The 13236-nt window shown below is 43.8% G+C and overlaps 1 protein-coding gene across 3 annotated transcripts in view; it reads right to left on the bottom strand.

The window, feature by feature from the left end:
• The window catches only part of CES5A (carboxylesterase 5A), a 109878-nt gene continuing 109283 nt past the window's right edge, over window positions 12642-13236 (bottom strand). For all 3 annotated transcript variants that reach the window (NM_001190158.1, NM_145024.3, NM_001143685.2), the window contains one exon: window positions 12642-13170. In NM_001190158.1, coding sequence (NP_001177087.1) covers window positions 12939-13170 — 232 coding nt within the window. In that variant the 3' untranslated portion in view covers window positions 12642-12938. The remainder of the gene's footprint in view (window positions 13171-13236) is intronic.

Consider the following 13236-nt stretch of genomic DNA (forward strand, 5'->3'; position numbering starts at 1 on the left):
TTAGGACATATCTCAGCTCCCAGGGCTTGTGTTTTCATAGCTTTCCAGGCTCTCAAGCTTGGAAGCGATCTTAAATTTCATCGAGTCCCCTTTCTGAGGCCTGAATTAGCTTCACAATATCCTGCCAACTGGTCCAGCCTCCTGTCACACACCATCGGTGTCAGAGAACTCACTACTTTCCAAAGCAGGGATTTTTGGACAGAATGTAAAAATGAACTCCGTCCCCCCATAGTCCCTGGCTGTTATCATCCATCCATCCAAGTACCCATCCATTTTGTGAACATTTACCAAAATGCTTGGCACCTGGCCATGTATAATGGATACAAAGACCAATTCAAGACATGGTTCAGCTTCTCAAGGGGCTCACCATTGTAGACAAGACAGATGGGGTGGAGGAGCAGTAGGGGTGATGTCAAGGCAATGTGAAATCACCAAATTAAGGGGATACAGAGTGCTCTGGGCACACCTGGAAAACTGTCATTTACAAGCTGCTGGGGACACAAGGAAGTCACTCAAAGCCTCTTTCATGGGATTATTAAATGTCCAACAATAGGGAATTCACTAAACACACTGTGGTACCGCTGGCTAAGGAAATACGATGTATTCACTCAAAATAGTGATGTGCACAGCTATTTATTAACAATGAAGACAGGATGCGTTGTGAAAGGAGAAAATAATAGGTTATAAACTGTTGTGCGGTGTAGGCAGTTCCTCAAAAAGTTCAACACAGAGTTTCCATATGACCCAGCAATTCCCCTCCTAGGTGTCTACCGAAGAGAACTGAAAGCATGTCCACACAAAAGCTTGTACACAAAGAGCAGTGTCATTCATCCTAGTCAAAAAGTGGGCACAACCCGCATGTCCATGACCTGATGAATGTGTAAATGAAGTGTGGTGTATGCGTGCAGAGGCATATCATCCAGCCATAAGAAGAACATGCTACAACGTGGATGAAGCTGGAAAACATCATGGTAAAGGAAAGAAGCCAGCCACAAAAGGCCACATGTCGTATGATGCTTTTTATATGTAATTTCCAAAATAGTCAAATCCATGGAGACAGAAAGTGTTTGACAGGGTCTGGGGAAGGGGAAAGAGACGGGGATGAGGAGTGACTGCTAATGGGCATGAGTTTTATCTTGGGGGTGGTAAAAATGTCCTGGGATTAAATAGTGATGATGTTAGTGCAACTTTGGGAATATACTAAACACCACTAGATTGTACACTTTAAAAAGGTAAACTTTATGACATGTGACTTATATTTCAATAAAATAATGAAATATTTTTGAAAATCTAGATAGGTATAATATGGTCCCGTTTTGGTAGTAACATATGTCTTTATTTGCATAGGAAAATACTGGAAGTCTATATATCTAATTAGAATTACAACAGCCATTTCCTGGCTGTAATCTTGTCAGTGTTTCACTTATTTGCATTTTCCACTTTTATTCCTTCATACATTCATTGACAAATATTTACTGAGAGCTTACTGTGTGGCAAACACTATGCCGAGAGTTTTGTATGCAGGATCTCAGTTCTCAAAATAACCCCGTGAGATTAATGCTGTCTCACGATCTTAAATTGATTTCTGTTGTTTAAGCCACCCAGTCTGTGATATTTTCTTCTGGCAGCCTAAGTAGACTAATACATAGGCTCAACTCAATTCCGTTATTTATTCCCAAAAGAAACTAAGGCCCAGAGATGAGGAGGGATTGCCTAAGGTCACACAGCAACTCAATGGCAAAGTCAGAACCAGAACTTGAGGCTTCTGCCTTCCAGCACAGGGTGGCTGGCAGCCATTTCTCTTGCTTTTATACATCAGGAAGATATTCTAATCAGTAGCCTTATCTAAGGCAAATTGCCTTGTCAGCTCATTGACCCAGGCTTAGCATGGTAGGGCTGAAGGGATAGAAATAGCCAGGGGAGGCTGGGCACTGTGGCAACCCTTCCCGCTCGGTAATCCTAGCACTTTGGCAAGCCAAGGTGGGAAGATTGCTTGAGAGAGGAGTTCAAGACCAACCTGGGAAACATAGTAAGACCCTATCTCTACAAGAATAAGGAGAAAGGAAGAAGAAGAAAAAGAGGAAGGAGAAGAAGGAGAAGGAGGGAAGAAAGAAGAAGAGGAAGAAGAAGAAGAAAGACAGAGAGAGACAAAGAAAGAAAGAGAGAGGAAGGAAGGAAGGAAGGAAGGAAGGAAGGAAGGAAGGAAGGGACAAAGATGGGAGCCATGTACCAGGTACCTGGGGAGCTATGTTCTATTTTCCCAATGTCACTTGGCAAGCCTGCCCTTGTCCAGGCCACACCACTATTGACATCAGGAAAGATTGGGCAACCAGCAGCCATAAATCACATGACAGTCCCAGAGCTGCTGATGGATTCTTGCCCAAGGCCATGAGTTGTAGCTGAAATGAAACTTCTGGAGACCCAAATTCAAAAAGGCATGCTCATTAGCACTCATTCTAGCCACGTGCAGGCTGGTGAGGGGCATTCTGTGATGGGAATGAGGATGCTCTGACAGCATGAGAATCAGTCCCCAGAGCTAACTGACTCTACAAAGGTTGACCTGAGCTTTAGGGTTCCTCCCTTACTTTTATCCAGGACAGAAATCTGGCTGATAAACTGCATGCTAATAAAAAGCATCCCTATCTCTATCCACAAGGGACAAATTGGGAGGTCCTCCTAAATAGAAAGCAAGGCTAGTCCCACTCACTCAGCACAACACACACACACACACACACACATGTGCACGCATGCGCGTGCCTGTTAACCATCCTGCCCTGTTGCCCTAGTCAGCTGACCTTTGCAACCTGGGAAACAGCCCTGGCTCTTGGCCTATGAAGATTTTGTGGTGCTGTGTTCACAAAATATAAAAGATAAGGATTAGTTCTTCTCCTGAACCACTGCTCAATCACATGCCCGCTTGTGACACCAGCCAATTGTGCAAACAGAATTTTTTGGCCACTCCTAGGTTTTGCCTGGGTCTGGCTGCAGCCTCTGACACCTTTTTCTGCTTCATGATGACTCTGCAGATTGTGATGGGTGAGGCTGGAGCCTACCAAGCCTTACAATAGATCTAATTTTTGCTTAATACATATAACTCCCCTGCAACACTTCAGCTGTAAGCAATACGTCTCTTGTTTAAGTGGCAGTTGGTTGGTGGGGGGCGGGGGGGATATTATTGTTTTCCCTGGGGAACACCCTCTGGTTTCCCATGTGGAACTATATGATGTGGAAAGTAAAATCCGAGGAACTGGCCTTAACTTCTAAGCAGGGGGTAGGACTTGGGAGAGTGAGCATATCTGGGGGCTTCAAATGAACTCCCCCAAACCTCTCCACCTCCATCAGTTTACTCAGCAGATATATGGAAAGCTCGTATTAGAGCAGGCATTGGGCACAGCAAGCCCATGTCCTGCTGGGCCCCTCACTCAGCTTTGTCTCTGAACCATGGGATTGATCAGGTGCAGATTTTGTGGTGGAGAACACTGAACTGGGAGACAGAAGTCTGAGAATCCACTGGGTGACATTTGGGAATTCCTTGTGGAAAGGCAGGGGGTGGCTCTGGGGGAGGGGCTCTCTCATGCACCCTTCACCGTGGCTCCACACTCTATGAATCCAGGATTCTACGACATTCTCCACTGCAGCCTGGGCATATGCAGTGTTTCTGGAACCTCACTTATTCTCACACTAATATCATGGTTTTTTGCCTCATCAGCATATCGTCTGTACTTCTATGAACAGTTTTCTTTAAATGAAGCACTCTTTTTACTTTAACATGCTCACTCAAAAAGGAGACTTTATACCATTTCCATAACTGCAAGACCTGTATAACCTGCCATAAATTAGAGGTATGCATGGAAAATGTGTGACTGCATTTTTTAAATTAAAACGATGGTAAAAATAAAAACTTACATAAAGAAAAGCCAGTAAAAACACTTCTGGTTTACAGAAGTGTATAACTGAAAAAAGTCACTCAATGGGAAAAGTGAACCATTGAAGGCCAGTTAGTTACATGAAAGCAGGGCCAGCCTTGATCGCCGTCATGACCACCAGGTAGGTGACAAGGCAAGGGTACCTACCTTTGGCAAGGATCATCGTCACCAAGGTCATTTTCTTCTGCTTCAGGGAACGTCTTCCTGTTAACATTCGGTTCAATGGGCAGAAATTGTATTATGTTTACACCTTCCCAGGACCACGATGCTGTGTTATACTTAGGGGTCAGACTCCCTGGGGTCAATCAGGTCCTAGGACTAACTGGTCAGAGCATCTGGAAGAAATTTTGGCCTGGTCGTGGGTCATAGAGGAAGGAGCTGTACTCCCATGGGCATAACTAGTCACCCTCAATGGCGCAAACAACCGGAAATCGGGCCATGTACATTCATCAGGCAATCACCCTGTGACTGCTGAGCAAGAATTATTAGTGAGAGTAGGATAAACTATGGTAGCAAATAGGCCCAGAATTTCAACGCCTTATTTTTCAATTACGTAAAGGACTAGAGTGTTGTTCAGGTCCACAAGGTGGCTGTCCTCCATATGGTCATTCAGAGATCGAAATTAGGGTATTGGCAAACTTTCTCTATAAAGGGCCAGATAGTAAGTACTTTGGGCTTTGCAGGCCATGGGCTGTCTGTGGCAACTGCTGTGGTAGTCAGGTGGCCCATAAACAATACCTATGCAAATGGGCATGGCTGTGCTTCAATAAAACTTTATTTTTAAAAAGACAGTAGGCCAGATTTGGCCCTCAGGCTGTAGTTTACTCAGTCCTGATCTAAGCTATGGTGGCTTTGCCTTCCTTCACTCATGGTTTCTAAAGTTGCCATAGGTGTCAATTGCCTGTCACCTGGAAGAGGTAGGAGCAGAAGTGTGACCATGGAGCATTTGTATGGGCCAGGCCTGGCTGTGGCACTCTCCACTCCCACTCAGAGGACATTGGTGAGAACTTATTCACATGTTCAATCTAATTGCAACGAAGGCTGGAAAATGTAATCTGGCTGTGTACCAAGGAAGGTGGGACAGATTTTAACAGACTGCCAGCAATCCTTGTCACAGGTAATATCCATTAAACCATGGACTTGATAGTAAGGGTTTTTTCCCTAATACACAGCAAAATAAATAAACAGCCATTCTATAAGTGGTTTTTAGTTTGTGTGCCATCTAAAATGATCTTGCATAACTCCAGGAATAAGTATACCACACTCTGATAAACACGAAGTTTTTGCATTTCTTTGATTCAAATCACAAAAGCCTGATTATAAACCCAGATCCTATTCATTAGCTCTACTTTATTAAGCCTTCCTTTAGCCTGTTAAGAATAAAATGGGAAAAAAGATGATTCAGAAAGCAATGTAAAAATTTAGACACAGAAAAGTGAAGATTGAATTATAATCTGGAAAGAGCCCTGTAAAGTCAAACTATAGATTACATTATAAACATCCAGGTGAATAGAGTGGCCTCCATGGAGAGGCATGTTCTGTGTGTTTTCTTGCCCTGAGAACTATCAATATTCATATATGTTAATGCCCATAACTGTGATGACTCTTGATGGTAGCGGGTATTGAGAGATGGACAAAATTTGGGGAGGCAGAGAAGAAATTAGCATTGGAACAAGGCAGATTCAGGGGCTTCTTGGGGAGGCCAGTTGCAATGGAAGGGTGAATGGAGGACAGAGAGCTTCAATGCCAAGCCAAGGACAACAGACTTCATCCCTGGACAATGAAGAGACACTGAAAGGCTTTAATTCTGAGAATTGCACAATGAAGGGCGTTTCTGAAAGTAGAGCCTGGCAGAAGCAGCCAAGCCATCTGGAGGGACCAGTGGTTACTCTCAAGGGGAACCTCCTACACACTCTTCGGGAAGGTGGAAGATAAACTTCTCCTTTTCAAAGGTGCCTAAGTCCTAGCTTGTGAAAGCTTGGCTTTGGGGCTTACATAGGACTCAGCAAGCATAAATGACATAAGCTTCTCCAAAAAGCTGGACTGCACAAAGGTCTGACCAAATCTCAGGATCTACTGCTGTTGGCCCTGTGTTCTCACTTTAGAAGGTCATGCAAGGGACAAAATCTCTAGAATCCTTCGTGGGCTGGGTCACAGCTGAGATGGGAAGGTTGCAGTCCTCTGAAACTTCCCACATAGCTGTACTTCTATGGAGGCCAGGACCACATCGGGGTGGGTACAGTCCACAATCCCCCTCCATCCCACCAATCAGGTTCCAAGGGGTCTTCACATCCACAAAATACCATTTTCCCAGATGAATAGCACACACACCAAGACACGCAAATTCAAACCAGATACCCAAATGGCACTTATTGAATTTGCAAGGAGTTTTACCACAATTCTTTTGGCGGTAGTGCCTAGTGGCAACAATATAGAAAACAAGGAACTTTCACCACTGATGTGAGAGATCATTTAGTTCAAACTTCCTTGGGGGCAATTTGGCAAAATCTATCCTAACATTTCAAAAAGGCATCCCTTTTGCCCCAGCTATTTTTTATTAACCATGTTCTTTATTTTCTCCATTCTGACACTTTGACATGCAGGGCTTTGCTCCTAGAGGGACTGCTCCTCCCATGGTTAGCCAATTGCTAGAGATATAAGCCACTTGTCTCTTAGTGTGCCTTTCATACATAAACTCACCGATCCAGAGCCCACATCCCCAACCACCTCCTTCATGGGCTCTCCCACTGTGAACTAATAGCCTCGCACCCTAATCACCCCAGAGCTAGGTACCAGATGGAACAGCCCCAATGCTGCAGAGCCCCCTGAAATTGTTCAAACTAACCACTCCTAAACCTGCTCACCCTGCCTCACCTCTTCCTTCCCGGGGAAACCACAGGAACACCTTTTGCCACATCCCCATCACCACCACCTTCTGATGGACTCCAGCGTTGTCTGTGCAGCCTCCTGCTCCCATGGCATGGAGTGCCCCCTCGTCTTGTCTTGGGATCTGTGAGTAACAAGCTACTTATCCTTTCTTTCTTTCTTTTCTTTCTTTCTTTCTTCTCTTTTTTTTTTTTTTTTTTTTTTTTTGAGACAGAGTCTCGCTCTGTTGCCCAGCCTGGAGTGCAATGGCACAATCTTGGCTCACTGCAACCTCTGTCTCCCAGGTTCAAGTGATTCTCCTTCCTCAGGCTCCCGAGTAGCTGGGATTATAGGCACCCACCACCAGCTATTTTTTTTTTTTTTTGGTATTTTTAGTAGAGACAGGGTTTCACCATGTTGGTCAGGCTGGTCTCGAACTCCTGACCTCAGGTAATCCATCCACCTTGGCCTCCCAAAGTGCTGGGATTATAGATGTGGGCCAGCATGCCCAGCCCAAATTGCTTTTTCAATGGCTGACATCTGATTGGTGGGCCTGCCATACCTAAATAATGATAAAACCTTTATTTTAAAGCACTATTCTCTAGGAATAATTCTGAATGAGCCCAAAGATATATGTATCAGGTGGTCACCTCAGTGAAGTTGACAATGGTACAAAATAGGAAATCATTCGAATGGCTAACAATAGTAGACAGTTAAATAATTTATTGAGTATTATACTATGGGATGCAATGTAGCTGTCAGAAAGGTAGAAAAAATTGTTTTTAAATGTTTGTGTAAAGGAAAAACGGTTTACCACTTCCTGTGAAAGAAGAGGGATCCAAAATTTTTTATTTCCCCCCTCCAATTATCCTAAAAAAAAACAGTGAAATAAAGTTTTTAAAGCTACAAACCCACACTGACAAACTGTGAAAGAAGAAATGACAGCATTTTGGACACTGAGAGGCCAACAGAATGACGATAACTAGTTTTAGAACAGAAAAAGGAGACGTTAACTCCTGGAAAGAAAGACACCACCATGCACCTATGCAATCAGAATAGAGACAGAAAAGACTCTCTGGGTTTAGGGGTATTGGATGCCTGTAGAAGTTGGGGTGTAGGTAACCCCCATTTATGCCCATGGGGAGTGCACCTCTCCCCTTTGAGCTCCACCCCAAGGCCAAAGTTTCCTGGAGGCTCTTTGCCTCTGCCACTCCTAGAACTGGGCTGACCCCAGGAACTCCAACCACCTAATTACAACAGAATATCGGAAGGGCCTTGCCAGATGTCAACATAAGATGATTTCTGTCCAGAGATCTGAGTGTCAAAAGGAAGAAGTTTCCCAAAGCTCATGTAATGGCTGCAGTAATGATGACTCTTGATGAAGTCAATGCCTGGCCACCAAACAAGCTCTCATGATGGTGGACAAGTTTGTCCTTGCCTTCATATTACTAATTGGCCATCAACAGTCCATTTTTCCCATTGAATAACTTATTTTCAGAAATGTGCTTCTATAACTCAATTGTTGCATGCAGTGAAACTAATGGAGGACTTATATAGTGATAAATAACAATCAAAGTGTACCAATCCTTCTAAAAATACCGAAGGTATCAGCCAGAGTTCTGTTCTCTCATATGAAAAGTTCAGGAGGTGAATAGAGCTTGAAACACAATTACATAAATAAATGTAATAAATGAAATAAATAGATTAGATAGATAATAGATAGATCATAGATAATTGATAGATGATAGATAATAGGTAGGTAGGTAGATAGGTAGATAGACAGACAGACAGACAGACAGACAGACAGACAGACAGATAGATAGATAGATATTTTATGGCATTATCTTCCGATAAAGAGAGAAGTCTGTTTCCTAAAGGTCAAGGTAGAAAAGCTGTCCTCCAGGCACCCACAGTGTGCTCCAGCAACCTTGCCAACACCAGCCCTGCTGCCCGTGGGCTGGCCCCCTTGCCACCACTGCTCAGGGTCACACTTCCGCCATGCTGTGGCTGGCCATCCCCCTTCCTACCCATCCTTTAATTTCAGACTTGAGCTCCACCCCATTCATGGAGCACAGCGAGCTCTTTGCAATGAATTTCCTTGTATTTTGAGACAATCAAGCGGCAAGGTAGGTTTTTTTCTCCCCAGCCCTTCCCGTCCTTGGGAATAATGAGGCACACTCTCAATACGAACTTTTAGCAGAGCATACGGGGCAGGACTGAGTGGGATCTGTCCCTGCTGGGGGAAGGGAGGCTCATCTTGTAGATGCGCTACCTGGGGCAGCACCAGGTGGGGCAGCTACCCAGGTGCAGGGCCTGAGCCCGCTTCCCACCCTCCCCTGCAGCTCTGCCCTGGGGGAATCTGGACTGAGTTGGTCCAAGGAGAGGAAATCCCTTATGTCCCTCTGAGGTAGGCTCCTGGAGACTTAATGGGAAAGTCCAGGAGGTGGAAAAGGGAAAAACTGCTGGCTCCAACCTCTGTTCTGCTAGTGAGTTTAGTCTTTTCAGTCAGACTTTTCAGGGAGTGGATTCTGCCTTTTCCTCTTTCCAAATGTTACAGATGGAATGGATAACACTATATTGTATTGGCTTGTATATAATTTAACTATTTGGCATGGTCTTATTGTCAGTCCAAGTTCTGCGATGTCACACCACCAGCATCTCAGGAGCCTCAGAATAGAGGGAAGCGTTTTTCCTTTGTGATAATGCTGCCCTCTACTGGACATCAGGAAATTCACAGGTGAAGACCGACGTAGTTTGTCCCTAAAGTTTTGCTTTGATTTAATTTAATGGATAGGGTTCAAGATTGTTTAAAAAAAAGGGGAGAGTGGGGAGGGGGAGGCAGTGGGTCCTGGAAAAGTAAATTGTTTATTTTACAATAAGAAAGTGGTTAAATATTTTATTTTTTTTACAATGGTGGAAAATTAGAAGTGATTGTGAAAATGATGTGTACCTGTCTTGCTGGTGAGTAGGATGTGATTTGGCGCTTTAGGAAAGTGAATTTGTAGAACTCAAAAATATTGACTTATAAAGGGCATGGCCGTTGACCCAGTCCATCTTATGCAAATCTAGATGCCATAAATAATATTTAAAAGTAAAAATACTGGGGTGGAGGTTGCAGTGGGCAGAGATCGCGCCACTACACTCCAGCCTGGGTGAAAGAGTGAGACTCTGTCTCAAAACAAAACAAAAAAAAAGAAGTCATTCCCAATGTTGCTCATCAAATTATGACCATAAATATCCAGGATAAGACTAGTGGCTAAAGAAACTGTGACACGTCAACACCAGGCAGAAAATAAAGCAGATTTTTTTGTTGTTTTGGAGAGCCTCTAGGAACTTGAAAAATACATATGCCACACTCTTAAGACCCAGTGGTTCTTAATCGGGGTGTTCATTAAAATGCCAGAAAACTGAAAATACTTCTAGGTCCCATCCAAGGAGATTTTGCTTCCGATTGACTGGCTAGTGGCCTGGCCATTGGTATTTTAGAAAAACCCTCCAAGTGATTATTTTACTTACATTCCAGATAGAAAACTCTAAATTAAAGGGGAAAAAAACAGACACAAAGTGGCATTTAAATAAATGTCAACTTTAACTCCACAAAGCATCTGATTGCATGTGGACAGAAAGAGAAGGAAAGAGGGCCCTATATCTGGATAACTTAGAAATGTGCTCCCCCTAGCAAGATATCTACCAAAATTAGAAACACATTTGAGGATGCTGGCACTGCGAGCAATATATAAATGATGCGTGTAATGTCATTTAATATGATCGTATTTTTAAAAATGAGTTGAGTGGTGTTTTCTAGCTGTTAGTTTTTCCAAATATCAATATAGAAATTAGTCTTCTGCAGCTGCAGAGGCAATTCAGTTTCCAGCTTGCTTTCACGGCCTAGAGCCATAAAGTGGCCCAGAGCATCTCTGATCCACCCCTCCCACAACCACCTAATCCAGAGACAACCGAATGCTTTGGACCATCTGATGAGAGAGGTAGCTGCATGGCAGTAAGAGTCCTGCTCTGAAGTGACAAGAGCCTTAAGGCCTGGTTTTGACTTACTGCTAACTTGCTCACACTGCATACTTGCTGAGTGATCTTGGGTGAATCGTTTCACCTCTCTGAGGTTCACTATGAAATGAGAGGTCAAGGGTCCAAACTTAAACACCTTCAGAGGTTGGGTAATATCAGTGAGTAAAATAGACCAGGCACAGCACAAAGGGGTATGGTGTGGACTGTGGCACGTTGAGAACTTAGGCCTCTGCAAAGGGGGCAGCCACCTCTCAGTTCCTGCAGATTACTCTATCTTTGCTGAGGACAGTTGCACAGGTAGTGCACTGCAGAAGGGTAACACTTTAGAGAAGGTGTCATTTGCATCATAAATGCAGATATTTATCCATGGCAGTTTCATGGAAGATGTCTGTAGAAGGTTTTGAGGAAGGGGCACCTTGTAATTTGCATAAAAGGTTGTATGGACCGCCAGAAGTGCTGGTTATCATGTGGGAATGCAGCTCGGTAACAGTATCTTCTGGGTTTTCTTGTTATTGTTGTTTCCTGAAGAAGCTGGAAATATGGCATTTAATGTGAAATTTTCCTAATTTAAAATTTGCTGGCAACAAATTCCAAAACATGTTTAACGTTGTGTGGGCCAAACAAAACACTTCAGGGGGTCTGATTCGGGCACTGAGTTGGAGATCTCTCACCCAGATGAGTTACTGGCATCTCAGAAACCCTCCTATTGTATGCATCTTATGTAATCTTGAAGCAATCACGAAGAAAAACTAATTACCCTGGTGAATTATATGGATATAATATGGATTATGTGGCTATACAAAGTAAGAGTGCATCCTTTGAATGATGGTATTTAACATTCTCCCTACCCTGTGACTAACTTTGATTTGTCCTTTCTTAATGTAAATGCTATTTCTCCAGAGAGAGCCTCCTAAGACTTTAATCTCACTTAGGTTCCCTCCGTTACACTTTCTTGAAAACACCTTATTCTCCTGAGTAACACCTATCAAAGTTACAGTATGAGATATCCACTGGCGTGAATGTTTGCTTAATGTCTGTTTGCTCACTCTTTGGTAGCAGCCATGTTTTGTTCACTGCTATATCCCTAGTGGGGATACGCCTGGTATATATCAGACGCTCAGTGTCGATTTATTTTTTATGTTTTTATTATTATTATCTTATCTTATTTTTTTTTCTGAGAAGGATTCTCGCTCTGTCACCCAGTCTGGAGTACAATGGTGTGGCCTCTGCTGCCTGCAACCTCCACCTCCCGGGTTCAAGTGATTATCCCACCTCAGCCTCCCGAGTAGCTGGGACTACAGGCACACGCCACCAAGACCGGCTAATTTTTGTATTTTTTTAGTAGAGACGGGGTTTCACCATGTTGGCCAAGCTGGTCTTGAACTCCTGACCTTAAGTGATCCACCTGCCTCAGCCTCCCAAACTGCTGGGATTACAGCCATGAGCCACCCTGCCCAGCCAGTGTAGATTTATTGAATGACAGATTCATCTCGACCCCACCAGGGAAGCTTCATTTCTTCTTGGCATTGCTGATCCGACCCTTGATGCCTAGAATTTGACTTCTAGGTTTTTTATTCTGGATGATGGCAGCTTTCCATGGCTGAGGATACCCCGTCACCCACACATCTCTCTGAGCCAGAGAAGAGACCCAGCTCAAACCCATGACATCCAAGACATCCATACTTGGCTTGCGGCTGAAGCCCCAATGGGTTGGGGTTGGGGGACTTGCATTTTGGGTAACATACACAGACACCTTCTCTGATAGAAAGTGGGTGCTGGGGGCATGGGGAGTGTTATCAGCACAGAATTAAATTCTGCCCCCGTATACCTATTTTACATTCTGATTTTATTTCATATGAGTTACAAAACCATTATTATGACAACTAATAGGCCAGCCCTCTTCCAAATTTATTGAAGAAATCTTGTTGCCTTCCAAGACAAATTGCACTTTTTGATGTTGAAAAGAATTCTGTAAGGATCATTCCTAAGTCCATAAAATATCAGCGAAAGCAGCTTGTTTTGCAAGGATCCCCATAGAAAGCAGCTGAGCTCAGAAAGAAGCTAATGATTGCGGGAGAAATTATGGGAGGAGAAGGGAAACCAAAATCACAGAAAGATAACTTCTCAAGGAGCACAAAAGAAAAAGAAAGGCTGGAGGAGAGAGAGGAAAGTTAAGGAAGAAAGAGGACTGTGGAGCATGTCGGAGGCAGACAGGATCAGGGGGATGGTGCTGGTCCAAAAATCCACCCGCGGTTCTTTGAGTCTCTGTCCGAGGCTCATGTTCAAGTCCAGCTGGAGGTACTGCTCAGTCAGATTATAAGCTGGCCACAGAGACAGGTCGTTCCCATTAGGATTCCTAGAAGGGAGAGCAGAAACAGGGGTGAGATTTTCCTCCTCACACCCCAGGCCTTGGCATGGGGGA

Source organism: Homo sapiens, chromosome 16 (assembly GCF_000001405.40).
Source record: "Homo sapiens chromosome 16, GRCh38.p14 Primary Assembly".
NCBI lineage: Eukaryota > Metazoa > Chordata > Mammalia > Primates > Hominidae > Homo > Homo sapiens.